This window comes from Homo sapiens, chromosome 8, assembly GCF_000001405.40.
Source record: "Homo sapiens chromosome 8, GRCh38.p14 Primary Assembly".
NCBI lineage: Eukaryota > Metazoa > Chordata > Mammalia > Primates > Hominidae > Homo > Homo sapiens.
Window position 1 is genome coordinate 144,567,782 of NC_000008.11, and position 17,416 is coordinate 144,585,197.

Here is a 17,416-nt window from a genome sequence, read left to right on the forward strand (position 1 = left end):
GGCAGGGAAGGGCCCCCTGGCCAGTGGACATGTGACCCACGTGGCTTTACCTATCATTGGAGATGGCTCACTCTCCTTATCCTGCCCCTTTGTCTTGTATCCAATAAATATCAGCGCAGCCTGGCATTCAGGGCCACTACCGGTCTCCATGTCTTGGTGGTAGTGGTCCCCTGGGCCCAGCTGTCTTTTCTTTTATCTCTTTGTCTTGTGTCTTTATTTCTACAATCTCGTCTCCGCACATGGGGAGAAAACCCACTGACCCTGTGGGGCTGGACCCTACAGGCTGATGCCTGTAATCCCAGCACCTTGGGAGGCTGAGGTGGGCAGATCACCTGAGGTCAGGAGTTTGAGATCAGCCTGGCCAACATGGTGAACTCTCGTCTTTGCCAAAAAAATACAAAAATTAGCTGGGTGTGGTGGCACACGCCTGTAGTCCCAGCTACTTGGGAGGCTAAGGCAGGAGAATCACATGAACCTGGCAGGTGGAGGATGCAGTGAGCCGAGATCACACCACTGCACTCCAGCCTGGGTGACAGAGTGAGACTCTGTCTCAAAAAAAAAAAAAAAAAAAAAAAAAGATGGAAGACTTTTTCAAAAACACAAAAGCTAAAAGAAGTCATTACCAGCAGACTTGCACTTCAGTAAATGTTACATGAAGTCCTTGAAGCAGAAAGAAATGCCACCAGATGGACACAAATCTGGATCTACACAAGCAATCAAGAGCACAGGAAACAGGAACTGTGTGGGGTGATGTAGAAATGTTTGCTTAGTATTAAAATCTCTTTAAATGATAACTGACTGTTTAAAGTACAAATGATAACAATGTATTAAGACATTGATAACATGTAGAAAAGTAACATACTTGACAGCAACAGGACAAAATTAGAGAGAAATGGAGCCTAATAAATGCTGTTAGGTTCTTACACCATTTATGAAGCGGGATAATATCATTTGAAAGTCAACTATGGTAAGTTAATATAAGATAATACATAAACCCTAAAACAATCACTAAAAAGTAGCAAAGAGCCATAATTAAGAATCCAACAAGGGGAGATAAAGGTGAATTTTAAAATGCTCGATTAGTGCAGAAGGAAAAAAAAAAGAGGAAAAAGGGATTGAGAACAAAAGAGACAACAAATCAAACAGCGAGACGACAGATTTACGCCTAAGCCTGACCCTAGCCATGCAAATCATCACACTGTGTTAATGGTCTAATCCCCCCATAAACAGGCAGAGACGTTCAGACTGAATAAAAACATGTGACCTAATAATATGATGCCTACAGGAAAACTCACAATAAAGACAAAAGAATAGGTAAAAAGTAAAAGGTTGAAATGAGAGATACCATGCTAACATGAATCAAATTAATATTGGAGTGCCAAGATTAATGTAAGTAGATTTTGGAGCAAAGAATATTTCTAGGAACAAAGAGGGTCAATGATGAAGGGACTGATTCATCAGGAGCACATAATCCTAAATGTTTATGTACCTAACTACAGAGCCTCAAAATACTCCTGGGTATTTTCTGAGAGAAATAAAAATGTATGTCCAAACAAAGACTTGTACATGAATGTTCATAGCAGTTTTATTTGTAATAGCCCAAACCTGCAAACAACCCAAATGCCCAACAGAAGGCGGTACATCCATACAATGGTATACTACTAAGCAGTGAAAAAGGAATAAACTACGGATACATGTAACAACATGTCAAAACAATTACATGGAGTGAAAGATGACAGACAAAAAAGAGTGCATACTGCTTGAGTCCTTTTATGTAAAATTCTACAAAACACAAATTAATCTATAGTGAAGCAGGTAGACGAATGGTTCCTTAGGAATGTGGGGGATTGTGCAGAGACAGGTGGGAGGGGAACAGGAGGGCAAGGAGACTTCTGGCACCAGTGGAAAGTGCACTACCTTAATTGTGGTGATGGTCATGGGTGTGTACATACATCAAGACTTATCAAAATGTATGCTTTAAATGTGTGTGGTTTATTGCCTTTCAATTTTCCTTCCATAAAGTTGACACACTTGAAGAGACAGAAACATCAGAACAAGGGCAGGAAGACATCCATCCAAATGTTAACAAAAACACACAGAGTAGTGGGTGTGGGGAAAATGAGGACAGAGAGAGCAACAGAAAAGCGTATATGCTGAGGCTGGGCGCGGTGGCTCAGGCCTGTAATCCCAGCACTTTGGGAAGCTGGGGCGGGCAGATCACTTGAGGTCAAGAGTTCAAGGCCAGCCTGGCCAACATGGTAAAACCCCGTCTCTACTAAAAATACAAAAATTAACCAGGCGTGGTGGCTCATGCCTGTAATCCCAGCTACTCAGGAGGCTGAGGCAGGAGAATTACTTCACCCGGGGAGGCAGAGGTTGCAGTGAGCCGAGATGGTGCCATTGCACCCCAGCCCGAGTGACAAGAGTGAAATTCTGTCTCAAAAACAAACAAACAAAGAAACAAACAAACAAAAGCTTATAAGCCGAGCAGAACGTGAGATGATGAACTAAATCCTCTTGTTGCATCAGCAATCTCGTCAATGACTGGAACAATCCTGCCAAACAAAAGACGGGTGTTTGGACTAGATTTAAAAATAAACCAAACAGCTATACATCATTTACAAGAAATAGACTGGATGGAAAAAGGAGGCAAATTCTAACCAAAGAGAAACAATGGCACCACAAACTCTAAAAGTTGACTTCAAGGCAAGAAGACTGTGAGGGGTAAAGAGGATTAGACGCAACGACAATAGGAAAAGTCTAGCAGGAAAACGATTCCAAACTTACGAGTGACCAACTCACTGCTTCAATATATAAGAAGTGGAAATTGACAGATTTTAAAGGAGAAATGAACAAATTCTGCTATTCTAGGAGGAGACTTTAACTCTCAGAATGGAGACAGCAGGTAGAAAAAAATAGGTTGAAAAGATCAACAAAATTGGTACACTGCTAGCAAGACTAATAAAGAAGAAAAGAGAGAATAATCAAATATACGCAATAAAAAATGATAAAGGAGATACCAGCACCGATCCCACAGAAATACAAACTACCATCAGAGAATACTATAAACACCTCTACACAAATAAAATAGAAAATCTAGAAGAAATTGATAAATTCCTGGACACATACACCCTCCCAAGACTAAACCAGGAATAAGTTGAATCTCTGAATAGACGAATAACAGGCTCTGAAATTAAGGCAATAATTAATAGCCTACCAACCAAAAAAAGTCCAGGACCAGACGGATTCACAGCCGAATTCTACCAGAGGTACAGAGAGGAGCTGGTACCAGTCCTTCTGAAACTATTCCAATCAACAGAAAAAGAGGGAATCCTCCCTAACTCATTTTATAAGGCCACCATCATCCTGATACCAAAGGCTGGCAGAGACACAACAAAAAAAAGAGAATTTTATACCAATATCCCTGGTGAACATCGATGCGAAAATCCTCAATAAAATACTGGCAAACCGAATCCACCACCATCAAAAAGCTTATCCACCACGATCAAGTCAGCTTCATCCCTGGGATGCAAGGCTGGTTCAACATACGCAAATCAACAAATGTAATCCATCACATAAACAGAACAATCGACAAAACCTAAAAACCACGATTATCTCAATAGATGCAGAAAAGGCCTTCAACAAAATTCGACAGCGCTTCATGATAAAACCTCGCAATAAACTAGGTATTGATGGGACGTATCTCAAAATAATAAGAGCCATAAATAATGACAAACCCACAGCCAATATCATACTGAATGGGCAAAAACTGGAAGCATTCCCTTTGAAAACTGGCCCAAGACAAGGATGCCCTCTCTCACCACTCCTATTCAACATAGTGTTGGAAGTTCTGGCCATGGAAATCAGACAAGACAAAGAAATAAAGGGTATTCAATTAGGAAAAGAGGAAGTCAAATTGTCCCTGTTTGCAGATGACATGATTGTATATTTAGAAAAACACACTGTCTCAGCCCCAAATCTCCTTAAGCTGATAAGCAACTTCAGCAAAGTCTCAGAATACAAAATCAATGTGAAAAAATCACAAGCATTCCTATACACCAATAACAGACAGCCAAATCATGAGTGAACTCCCATTCACAATTACTACAAAGAGAATAAAATACCTAGGAATCCAACTTACAAGGGATGTGAAGGACCCCTTCAAGGAGAACTACAAACCACTGCACAACGAAATAAGAGGACACAAACAAATGGAAGAACATTCCATGCTCATGGATAGGAAGAATCAATATCATTAAAATGGCCATACTGCCCAAGGTTATTTATAGATTCAATGCCCCATCAAGCTACCAATGACTTTCTTCACAGAATTGGAAAAAATTACTTTAAAGTTCAGATGGAACCAAAAAAGAGCCCACATTGCCAAGACAATCCTAAGCAAAAATAACAAAGCTGGAGGCATCATGCTGCCTGACTTCAAACTATACTACAAGGCTACAGTAACCAAAAGAGCATGGTACTGGTACCAGAACAGAGCTATAGATCAATGGAACAGAACAGAGGCCTCAGAAATAACACCACACATTTACAACCATCTGACCTTTGACAAACCTTACAAAAACAAGAAATGGGGAAAGGATTCCCTATTTAATAAATGGTACTGGGAAAACTGGCTAGCCATATGTAGAAAGCTGAAACTGGATCCCTTCCTTACACCTTATACAAAAATTAATTCAAGATGGATTAAAGACTTACATATTAGACCTAAAACCATAAAAACCCTAGAAGAAAACCTAGGCATTACCATTCAGGACACAGGCATGGGCAAGCACATCATAACTAAAACACCAAAAACAATGGCAACAAAAGCCAAAATAGATAAATGGGATCTAATTAAACTAAAGAGCTTCTGCACAGCAAAAGAAACTACCATCAGAGTGAACAGGCAACCTACAGAATGGGAGAAAATTTTTGCAATCTACCCATCTGACAAAGGGCTAATATCCAGAATCTACAAAGAACTTACACAAATTTACAAGAAAAAAACAACCCCATCAAAAAGTGGGCAAAGGATATAAACAGACATTTCTCAAAAGAAGACATTTATGCAGCCAACAGACACATGAAAATATGCTCATCACTGGCCATCAGAGAAACGCAAATCAAAACCACAATGAGATACCATCTCACACCAGTTAGAATGGCGATCATTAAAAAGTCAGGAAACAACAGGTGCTGGAGAGGATGTCCCACTGTTGGTGGGACTGTAAACTAGTTCAACCATTGTGGAAGACAGTGTGGCAATTCGTCAAGGATTTAGAACTAGAAATACCATTTGACCCAGCCATCTCATTACTGGGTATATACCCAAAGGATTATAAATCTTGCTACTAAAAAAGACACATGCACATGTGTGTTTATTGAAGCACTAGTCACAATAGCAAAGACTTGGAACCAACCCAAATGTCCAACAATGAATGATAGACTGGATTAAGAAAATGTGGCACATATACACCATGGAATACTATGCAGCCATAAAAAGGATGAGTTCATGTCCTTTGCAGGGACATGGATGAAGCTGGAAACCATCATTCTGAGCAAACTATCACAAGGACAGAAAACCAAACACCACATGTTCTCATTCATAGGTGGGAAATGAACAATGAGAACACTTGGACACAGGGCGGGGAACATCACACACCACGGCCTGTTGGGGGGTGGGGGGCTGGGGGAGGGACAGCGTTAGGAGAAATACCTAATGTAAATGACAAGTTAATGGGTGCAGCAAACCAACATGGCACATGTATACCTATGTAACAAACCTGCACGTTGTGCACATGTACCCTAGAACTTAAAGTAAAATAAAAATAAAAAAAGGATGAAACTTGATTTACATAATAGATTTCATTTAATTAACATATGCAGAACTCTGGGCACAACAAAAAGAAAACAGAAATTATCCTTTTGAAGGAGTCATAAAATCATTTACAAAAATTTATGAATTAGCCCACAAAGCAAGTCTCAAAAAAATAAAAAAATTATGCTTTCCTTAAGTTGGCAATCAAGAACGAAAACGAAAAATAAACTGTAGTTTTGGAAATGAAGATATTTATAAATTACAAATGAGTCAAAGAATAAATCATAATTAGGCTGGGAGTGGTGGCTCATGCCTATAATCCCAGCACTTTGGGAGGCTGAGGCAGGCAGATCACTTGAGACCAAGAGTTTGAGACCAGCCTGGCCAACATGGCAAAACCTCGTCTCTACTAAAAATACAAAAATCAGCCAGGCATGGTGGCGCCCCCCTGTAATCCCAGCTACTCAGGAGGCTGATGCACGAGAATTGCTTGAACCCAGGAGGTGAAGGAAGCTGAGATTGCACCACTGTACTGCAGCCTGGGTGACAGAAAAAAAAAAAAAAAAAAGGGAAGAAGATGAAGATGAGGAGGAGGAGGAGGAGGGGGAAGAAGAAATCATAATTAAAAACTGAAAATATTTAAAAGTGGGCTGGGCTAGGTGCAGTGTCTCACACGTATAATCCCAGCATTTTAGGAGGCCGAGGTGGGAGGATCACTTGAGGCCAGGAGTTCCAGACCAGACTGGGCAACATGGCATTAGCCTATTTCTATAAAAAATAAAAAAATTAGGCTGGGTGTGGTGGCTCATGCCTGTAATCCCAGCACTTTGGGAGGCCGAGGCGGGCAGATCACCAGGTCAGCAGATCGAGACCATCCTGGCTAACACGGTGCAACCCCATCTCTACTAAAAATACAAAAACAAAATTAGCTGGGTGTGGTGGCGGGCACCTGTAGTCCCAGCTACTCGGGAGGCTGAGGCAGGAGAATGGCGTGAACCCAGGAGGCGGAGCTTGCAGTAAGCTGAGATTGCGGCACTGCATTCCAGCCTGGGCGACAGAGCGAGACTCCGTCTCAAAAACAAAAAATAATAATAATAAAAAATAAAAAAATTAGTTTGGTGTGGTGGTGTACACCTGTAGTCTCAGCTACTCAAGAGGCTGAGGTAGGATTGCTTGAGCCTGGGAGTTGAAGGCTGCAGTGAGCCATGATTATGCCATTTCATACCGTCTTCACATGTGCAGGAGATTTTACAGTCAGGCATCACTTAATAACACAGATGTGTTCTGAGAAACACGTCATCAGGCAATTTTGTCACTGTGTGAACATCCAAGAGTACAGTTATACACATGCAGGCTGTAAGGCCTGCTACACACCCAGGCTATATGGTGTAGCCTATTGCCCCCAGGCTACACACCTCAGCATTACTGTGCCGAATGCTAAATGCCATTGTAAGACAATGGTGAGTATTTGTGTGCCTAAACATATTTAGACATAGAACAGGTACAGTAAAAATATGGTATAAAAGATAAAAAATGGCACACCTGTACTGGGCACTTACCAGGAACAGAGCTTGCAGGACTGGCAGTTGCCGTGCGTGTCGGTGAGTGAGCCCTGGATATCACTGCACACAACTCCTAACTTGACAACCCTGTACACTTCGGCCACACTCAATTCATTTAAAACTTCTTCTTTCATCAGTAATAAATTTAGTTTACTGTAACTTTTTTACTTTATAACCTTTTTAGTTTCTTTAAACTTTTTGAGTCTTTTAGAACACTTTGCTTAACATACACATTGTACAACTATACAAAATATTTTCTTTCTTTACATTCTTATTCTATAAGCTTTTTTAATTTAAAATTTCTTAAACTGACTTTTTGTTACAAACTACGACACAAACACACACACTAGCCTAGGCCTACCCATGCTCAGGATCATCAACACCACCGTCTTCCCATTGCCACATGGTGTCCTGGGAGAAAGCAACACACGTGGAGCCATCACCTCCTGAGACAACAGCGCCGCCTTCTGGACACCTCCAGAAGGACCCACCTGAGGGTGTTTCCAGCTAACATTTTTTTTTTAAGTGCACGCTAAATGATAAAAACTATGGTATAGTGAATACACAAACCAGCGACATAGTCACGTATCATCATCATGGTCAAGCACTATGCACGGTTCATAACCACACGTGCTGCTCCTCTGTAGGACCGCAGTGCAGCAGGTCTGTCTACGCCAGCATCACCACAGACTTGCGAGTACGGTGTTGCACACAACCATGGTAGGTCATAGAACCTTTTCAGCTCCATTATAATCTATGAGACCACTCTCATATATGCAGTGTGCTGCTGATGGAAATGTTACGTGGCACGTGACTGTATTATAAAGACATCTATCTACCCAAACTAATCCATAATTCAACGCAATTCTAGTCAAAATCCCAACAGAGTGGCCGGGCATGGTGGCTCACGCCTGTAATCCAGCACTTTGGGAGGGTGAGGTGGGCAGATCATGAGGTTAAGAGATCGAGACCAGCCCAGCCACCAACATGGTGAAACCGTGTCTCTACTAAAAATACAAAAATTAGCCAGGTGTGGTGGTGGGCGCCTGAAGTCCCAGCTACTCGGGAGGCTGAGGCAGGAAAATTGCTTGAACCTGGGAGGCGGAGGTTGCAGTGAGCCGAGATTGCACCACTGCACTCCAGCCTGGGCGACAGAGTGAGACTCCGTCTCAAAAAAAAAAAAAAAAAAAAAAAAAGAACGAAAAAAAACCTCCCACAGAGCTTCTCATGGAAGTCCTGGCCCCAATAGCCCCACATCACCCCAGCATTCCTGAGACATTTTTGAGAAGAGATGGACACTCCAGTCCCCAGAGAGTGGGCCCTGAGCCATGGGTGACAGGGCAGGGCTAAGGCCAGACCCACGGCCTCTCTGGGGAAGAACAGCCCCGCAAGTGTGGGTGACTGACACATTTTGAAAAGAGAATCACAAAAAGAAACCAATTCCTCCACCTAATTGCAGAGACGAGTCAAAACGAATAACAAATTCAAAATTATGATAATCCAATACCAATTCTCTGAGAAGTTCTGCGCAGGCCCGAAGCCGTCCATTCTGTTCAGTGAGAGGAAGCCGGAGGTTCCAGCGCAGCAGCACAGCACAGGCTCTTGAGGGAGAGTTATTTTTAAAATGTTAACGCCAAGTCCGCTCGTCCGCTTGTTTCTTAAAATGATTCACGATTCTCAAAATCTGGCTTCGACTTGTGCAAGATGAGCTCCTGCCCGTCTCTGGCTGGGAGAAGTTGTTCTCCAGAGGGACCATAGGATTTAACTGCAGTCAGTATTTACAGCAAACCAACAGGTTTGTTTTTCACTTATGCCATTTAAACCATAAACCAGATGCTGCAGTCACCTTTCCACGGAGCTCCACCTGTACACGCCACGAATGTCTTTTATTCCTTAACCTCTACAACAGTCTAAATTCTGTACCTTTCAGTATCATCTCCTTTGGGAAATGCCGCTGGAGGGCCAAGGACTCCTGGCCTGCTCTGGTGTGTGTTTAACTGCAGGCATGAGATTGCTCACGTGGGTTTCATGGATCATATGAAAGCCCACAGGGAGGTTCCTCTGTTTTTCAAAAGCACACAGATGCTGCTGTGACAACCGGAATACACGCTCAGGGCCGGTTCAACATGAGACCAACCAGTGTAAAACACCACACTGACAGATAGACTGAAGGAGAGAAACCACGTGATCATCTTAACTGATACAGAAAAGGCATTGACAAAATCCACATGATAAAACCACTGGGAACACAAGGAGTATCAAGGAACTTGCTCAATAGAAAAGACTGGAAGCTTTCCCCGAGATCAGGAGCAGAACAAGGATGCCCCTTCACCACTGCCATTCAACACTGCACTGGAAATCCTATGCAGGGCAATCAGTTAAGGAGAAGAAAAAGGCATCCAAATTGGAAAGGAAGATGTTAGACTATCACTAACCACAGATGACATAGTCCTATATATAGAAAATCCCAGAGATTATAAACGAAGGTTACTACAGCTAATACAGAAATTCAGCAAAGTTGCACAATACAAGATCAACACACAATCAGTTATGTTTCCATACACCACAATGGACAATCCAGAAACAAACAAACAAAAAATTCCACTTACAACAGCATCAAAAAGAATAACATATCTAGGAAGAAACTTTACCAGGGAGGTGAAAGGACTGTAAACTAGAAAATATAAAACACTGCTAAGAAAAATCAGACATAAGCAAATGAAAAGACATCCTCTGTTCATGGATTAGAAAATTAATATTGCTTGGATGAAATATCAGCTTACAGATCCAACACAATCCCCCACACAGATCCAAAATTCCAAAAGCTTTTTTTTTGTTGTTGTTAAAAGAAATGAAAAAGCCAATCCCCAAATTCTTGTGGAATTGCAAGGTGCTCCAAATAGCCAAAACAACCTTGAAAAATTAGAATAAAGCTGGAAGACTCACACTTTCCAGTTTCAAAACTTATTACAAAGCTACAGTGATCAAAACAATGTGGTACTGGGATATGGATCAATGCAAATCAATTGAGAGGCCAGAAATGAACCCAAATCTATGACAGGTCAATTTTTGTTTGTTTGTTTTTGAGACAAAGTCTTGCTCTGTCACCCAGGCTGGGGTACAGTGGTGCGATCTCGGCTCACTGCAACCTCCACCTCCTGGCTTCAAGTGATTCTCCTGCCTCAGCCACCCGAGTAGCTGGGATTACAGGTGTGAACAACCACTCCCAGCTAATTTTGGTACTTTTAGTAGAGACAGGGTTCTGCCACGTTGGACAAGCTGGTCTCAAACTCCTGGCCTCAAACTCCTGCCTTCCTTGGCCTTGAAAAGTGCTGGGATTACAGGCGTGTGCCACTTTTCTTGGCCAAAATTAAAAACTTTGTACTTTGGCCATGCACACTTTGGCTCATGTACTTTGGCTCATGTCTGTAATCCCAGTGCTTTGGTAGGCATAGGTGGGCATACTGCCTGGGCTCAGGAGTTGGAGACCAGCCTGGGCAACATAGTGAAACCCCAATCTCTACAAAAAAAATACAAAAATTAGCCTGGTGTGGTGGCACGTGCCTGCAGTCCCAGATACTTGGGGGTCTGAGGTGGGAGGTCACTGGGCCCGGGAGGTGAGGGCTGCAGTGAGATTGCACCACTGCACTCCAGCCCCAGAGACAAAGAGAGACCCTGTCTCAAAAACAAACAAACAAACAAACAAAACAAAAACAACAAAAACCTTTGTTTTTCAAATGATACCATCAAGAAAGTGAAAAAAGGGGCCAGGCGTGGTGGCTCATGCCTGTAATCCCAGCACTTTGGGAGGTGGGTGGATCACGAGGTCAGGAGATCAAGACCATCCTGGCTAACATGGTGAAACCCTGTTTCTACTAAAAACACAAAAAATTAGCTGGGCGTGGTGGCAGGTGCCTGTAGTCCCAGCTACTCGGGAGGCTGAGGCAGGAGAGTGGTGTGAACCCGGGAGGCGGAACTTGCAGTGAGCAGCAATCGTGCCACTGCACTCCAGCCTGGGCGACAGAGCGAGACTCTGTCTCAAAAAAAAAAAAAAAAAAAAAAAAGAAAGTGAAAAAAGGCTCAAAGTCATTAGTCATTAAGGAAATGCAAACCAAAACTACAATGAGACATTTCACAGTGGCTACAATAGCTAAAAGAAATCTAAAAAGGAAAGCAAGTAGTGTTGGCAAGGCCGTGGATAACTTTGAACCCTCATATTTGCTGGTGGGATGTGAAATGTAGGCCCTGGTCCTCTTTGTGCCCGCCTTCTGCACCGCTCGCTCACCCACGCCACGCCCGAGCCTCCGCTGCTCACCCTGCCCTGAATACCGACACCAACACCGTCTTCCCGGTGTGCTCCAGTGGCTCCTCCACACCTGATTTGCCCCACCTCCTGCCCACTCTGCAGCAGGCCCCATCCCTGGCCTCCCTTTCATCCTGCCAGACCGGGTCCACGGGATGAACCTGCTGCCCGCCTCCCTCTGTGCCTGCACCTCGGCACGGTGGGACGGAAGCCTGCTGTCCTCTGAGCTCTGTGGTTCACTCTGAATCCCTCTTCTGAAGCCTCAGATGAGCCCGGCAGTCCAACACGCTCCTTCCCACCTCTGCAGAAAGCCCCTGGGCCTCAGCTCCCCTGGCAACCTCAGCCAAGCACCGAAAATCTGGTACTGGGGGAGACCAATCCCCTGCCTTTCTCTCCCTGGGGTCCAGCCTCTCCTCCATCCTCTCCAGAGTGGCCTCCATCCGCCCCTGCAGTGGCCAGGCCTGTCTGCCCTGGGCCACAGCCTGGGCTCTGGGAAGCCCCAGCCTCCTGTCCCTGCCTCGGCTCTTCCCCACTGTCCTGCTGGCCTGCCGCCTGCCTCAGCCCTTCCCCACTGTCCTGCCCGCCTGCCTCGGCTCTTCCCCACCGTCCTCTCTGGACTCGCTTCCCACGGTGCACTCACCTCGAGGCCCTTGCGCTCTACCCTGACCTCTCCCTGTTTCTGAGGGCAGGGGTCTCCTGGGCTCCCACCAACACAGGCTGTGCTCCTTCGGAGCCACTGTGACTCCAGAGGACCACCTCCAAGCCTGCTCAGACCCCTCAGCTGTGTCCACACTGATCTACACCCTCCACCTGGGTCCCCCTAGGTCCACACACCCCACGCCCGCACGCAAATCCCCACATCTGCATCTCCCATCAGCAGAGAGAGCTGGGCGAGCCCCTCAGACACTGCTCTCAGGAACCACCACCTGCCAGGGGCTGGGCCAGTGAGGGGCAGGGTTGGAGGACCCAGAACCCTCTGAGGCTGAGCGCCAGGCTCTGCTGCCCAGAGAGACAAGAAAGTGCTCACTGGGGACAGCAGCGGTGGCTGCTACAGCCAAGGACGAGGCTCTGGCCACTCGCGGGGACACTGAGTCCCCTGGGTCCCCGCCCACCGCCCTCACCTGGCCCTGCCCACCATACCTGACCTACTCCTCACCTGGCCCCGCCCACCACCGTCACCAGTCCCGCTCTCACGTGGCCCCGCCCATTCCACTCACCTGGCCCCGCCCACCATACCCGACCTACTCCTAACCTGGCCCCGCCCACCACCTTCACCAGTCCCGCTCTCACCTGGCCCCGCCCACCACCCCCTACCTGCCTCACCTGGCCCCGCCCACTCCATTCACCTGGCCCCGCCCATAGCAGCTGCCCCCGCCCTCACCTGCCGCTGTCCTCCTTCACTGTCCCAAACGCCGCGGGCCGCCCGGCCCTCGCTGGCAACTCCTGCGCTTTCTCAGTGTCGGGCTCGGGCTCCAGGGAGGAGCTGGTGCTGCCCTCACGGCTGACGCTGCTGCCGCGCCCGGGGCTGCTCTCCGCCGAGGCGCGCGGGGACTCCGTGTTCTGCTTCAGCGTCTGCAGCTTGGCCAGCGGGATGATGTCGCAGCCCTGCGGCCGGTGCCACACCGTGCGCTGCGTGCTGGCATTGTAGTAGTAGAAGCGGGACGTGTTGGGGTCGAACAGCTCCCACCACTGGTTCTCGCTGGTGCGCTTGATGCGGACGCCGGCCGGCGGGTCCCACACGCACTCACCGGTGACCAGGTTGGCGTACATGCGCTCGCGGGTGCGCGGTTCGATGATCTCCACCCACTCCAACCTGGGGAGAGACAGGGTTAAGGCGGCTGGAGCCACGGCGGCCTGGGCCCGCGCCTCCCACCCCTGCAGACCCCGGCTCCAGCCCCAGCTGCGAAACCCAGAAATCCTGTCATAGAGGAAAGCAAACCCAAGCCCAGTCCGCCCCTGACTGCTGTGCTCCTGAGCACCCGCAACCGGGGAAGCCCCCGGAGCCGCCAGCGCCTCAGGGTGGTGCAGCCCTTTGGGGGGTCCTGGGCCCCACGTGGGGTAGGGACATACTGGCTGTGGTTGCAGGCTCCTGTCCTCACAGGCACCCAGGCCACAACCTCACTGCCCACTGCTCCGTCCTGCAGGATCGTGGCACAGGCCTGCGAGTCATCACTGCACACCTGCTCAGTAGCCCCTCCGCTGCAACTGGACCGCCACCTCCACACTGGGTCGGGGTCTGGAGGGGCCTCAGGCCCAGCTAAGTGCTGCTGGACTCCCAAGCTGTGTTCTCCCAAGGATCCCCCAGATCAGCAAGGCCAAGGGCCCAGCTGGCTCTCAGACCCCCGATGGGGGGCAGAGTCTCCACCCGGCCCTCAGACCCCCGCTGGGGGCACAGCCTCCAGCTCAGTAACGTTTCTGAGGCCTCTTCCATGTTTCTACACGGAAACAAAAACCCTTAGAGGCACCAAGAGCCTCTCAGCAAAGATGCTGCCAGGAGGCGTTCCCATGGACCCATGCATCCGTCTCTTAACCCTGCGACAGGCCTGGTCCTCGCCATCACCGGGCTGGTGAGGTGTCTCGTTAGCCCTGCGACAGGCCTGGTCCTCGCCATCACCGGGCTGGTGAGGGGTCTCGTTTCCAGGGAAAATGCACTAATCCCAGGGGCTCAACAGAAGGGGAGGCAAGTGGTGAGGGCAGAAGGGCCAGCGGACACCAGGCCCAGACACGGGCTAGTGGGGGCTGCCTGCGGCTCCCCCAGGTCAAGGACAGAAAGAGCCCCCCTGGCGGCCGGCGCAGACTGGCTGCGGGGGCGACCTTCATCCCACGTCCCACCCTTTGAAACCAGGCCAGGGACACGGCGGCTCTGAAAACAGGCTGTGATGCGCACCACACCTGCTCGTAGGACACCAAGGATCCAGGCGGAGTCTGTCCCCGCCACCCCCAGAGGCCAGCTGGGGAAGCCGGGCCCTCACACAGTGGCGGCGGCCCCAGCAGCAGCCCTGGGGGTTCTGGGTCTGTTTCTTGCTGATGCAGATGAGCAGCTGAGAAACAGGCCTTGCCACCCAAGCCCTCCTTCAGGCCCTGGCCACTGGGCACTGTTTGCTCCTCTGTGTTTGGATGCCACAGGCAGAAGGCACCGAGGGACAGTCCACGTGGGGCCATGAGGTGGGCGTGCTCAGGGCCTTACGTGGGGAAGGAGCTGGCTCAGGGGTCTGGCTGCAGGAGGAGGATGAGGCGGGTGGGACTGGGCCTGAGTGCAGACACCACAGTGGTGCACTCAGAAGTCCAATGAAGGAGGGCCAGTGAGAGAAGGGGCACCCTGGGGATGGGCTGGTGGTGGAGGGCTGCAGGGGAAGGCAGATGAGAACTCCTGAGGCCCGCCTGTGGATGTTTCACCGTCATCCCCGTGGGAAGGCGAGGTGGTGGGGGTCCTGTTGTTTTGCTCAGCTTGAGTACATCTGCCAACAACTCCCCCCAAACAAATGCCTCGGCTTGCTCGGCTCAGACCCTCCACAGGCCCCAGACTCTGAACTTCCACCTGCATGTCTCGCCACACCCTTGGCGTACACACCCACTCCACCGTCCACCGTCCAGCAAACCACACGCAACAGGGGCCACCCCCGCTCTGGTCCGTGCTTTCCCTTCTCAGCCCGGGGTCTCGCCAGGCACCAATAGCTGCCCAGCCCCTCCCTCCCAGCCCACAGTGGGTCCCCCAGTCGCTCCTGACGAACAAATCTAGGCAGCACCTTTCAGTCCCGAGGGAGCTGTGCCACTTTTGATACCACTGATCATGTTCTCTTCCTTTTATTTTTAAAGTTTTAACTTTTTGTTTTATAATTTCATATTTTCAAAAAGGTTAACAGCCTTCACCCAGATTCACCGCGTGTCACCTCCCTGAAACCGCAACAGGAAGTGGCGCACGCATTGTGGGGTGAGCAGCTCAGGAGACAACTGCTCGGCACGTGGAGGCACAGACGGGGTCTGCCCACGGCCCGGGCGGGACTGGGTGCCCACTAAGGTTCCCCACCGTAGCATCCTGTGCCGTCTCCCCAGCTACGAGGATCTCGTGGGGATCCCGTAAGGCCCCTGACATCCTGTTTCTCCTCCACTTTAACCCACGACTTTGAGCACCATGGATGCTTCCTGCCTGCGTGCTCCACTGAGCTGGCCAGCACACCGTCACCCTTGCTGGCTGGAATTCTATTCTGAGAGTCACACGATCAAGAATTTGTCATGTTGGCGGTGCTGTTGTGGGGGTGGCAGGTTACAGAGGTTTCTATTTTTCTGTATTTTCCAAGTGTTCCACAATATTCACAAGATTACTACTGTCATTGGAAAAAAAACCCACATATTATCTTCCTATAAAATGGTGCATATTCCATGTATGACATGCAATGAATCTTTCCAAGTGTCCAGTTTTAAAGTGTTAAGGATTTAGTGGGCAATGTTTCCCTGAAGCATCTGCACTCTTATATTGGCCTGTCCAGCACATCACTCAAGGGGATAAACGGTATCTCCCCGCAGGGGTGTTTTAATTCAAATGCAAACTTAATGACAAGGAAGGACTGTCACAGTTTATAATGAGATAAAGTTATATAGCTTTATTTTTAAAAGTGGCATATGTGTTTACATGTATATAGTTGTCTAGAAAATTACTGGAAGTCTAAAGCCAAATATTAAAAGAGATTAACTGGCCAAGTGCGGTGGCTCATGCCTGTAATCCCAGCAATTTGGGAAGCCAAGGCAGGCGGATCACTTGAGCTCAGGAGTTTGAGACCAGCCTGGGCAACGTGGTGAAACCCCATCTCTACAAAAAACACAAAAATTAGCCGGGCATGGTGGGTGCACTTCAGTTGCTTTTCACACTGAAGTCATTAATCTGCCTGCACTGATTTTTGTTTACTGTGTGAAATTTCATTTTCCCATATGGATAGAAAGGGATCTTAGGATAGCTTGTTAAATAGCTTTGTTTCCTCAGTGATGGACAATGGGAGCTCTATCTTAAATTGAGTTTCTGGCCAGGTGCGGTGGCTCAGGCCTGTAATCCCAGCACTTTGGGAGTCCCAGGCAGGTGGATCACCTGAGGTCAGGAGTTTGAGATCAGCCTGGTCAACATGGTGAAACCCCGTCTCTACTAAAAATACAAAAATTAGCCAGGTGTGGTGGCGTGCACCTGTAATCTCAGCTACTCGGGAGGCCAAGGCAGGAGAATCCCTTGAACCCGGGAGGCAGAGGTTGCAGGCAGCTGAGATCACGCCACTGCACTCAGGCCTGGGTGACAGAGCGAGACTCTGTCTCTAAATAAATAAATAAATAGAATAAATCGAGTTTCTGTAAGTGTGTCTGAGCTCCCAGCTGGCTTTGCTGATCCATCCATCTCTGTCTGCCTGAGCGGTGTCTTAGTTACGTGGCTTTGTAAAGTTGGTCCAAAGCCACACACTCCTCTCCCTCAGGCATGCTTCAGGCATATGTCAAAGCCATTCTTGACCCTTGGTTCTTCTCTGTGAAACTGAGAATCACCTCTTTGTTGGCTCTGCAAGGAGCCTGTGGATGGATTTAAGGAGAACCAGGCATCTCAGTGGAACTTTGGTCTCCACCCAGAGCCAAGGTGTCTCCCTCCACTCGTCCAGGTGTCTGAAGGGCTTAGACGCCCTCTCCCGATTGGCCCTGTGTCCCTCTCTGCTTTCACAGGACCATTAAGGGAAACCCCACAGCAGGGAGAACTGGGACCCC

The 17,416-nt window shown here is 48.1% G+C and overlaps 1 protein-coding gene across 6 annotated transcripts in view, besides 1 other annotated feature; it reads right to left on the reverse strand.

The window, feature by feature from the left end:
• The window catches only part of ARHGAP39 (Rho GTPase activating protein 39), a 171,184-nt gene that overhangs the window by 38,603 nt on the left and 115,165 nt on the right, over positions 1-17,416 (reverse strand). For 5 of the 6 annotated variants that reach the window (XM_011517308.2, NM_001308208.2, NM_025251.3 and 2 more), the window contains one exon: positions 13,065-13,496. In XM_011517308.2, the coding sequence (XP_011515610.1) occupies positions 13,065-13,496 (432 nt within the window). Of the gene's footprint in view, positions 1-8,887; positions 10,300-13,064; positions 13,497-17,416 lie in introns of those variants that run through there. The other variant, XM_011517312.2, reaches the window with a different exon arrangement.
• Positions 1,889-3,088: an enhancer, noted in NCBI's record as "MED14-independent group 3 enhancer chr8:145795054-145796253 (GRCh37/hg19 assembly coordinates)". NCBI's record gives its function as "activates an origin of replication core promoter dependent on BRD2, BRD4, P300/CBP and CDK7 cofactors, and independent of MED14, by STARR-seq in HCT116 cells {active_cell/tissue: HCT116}" and the evidence as "EXISTENCE:reporter gene assay evidence [ECO:0000049][PMID:35650434]".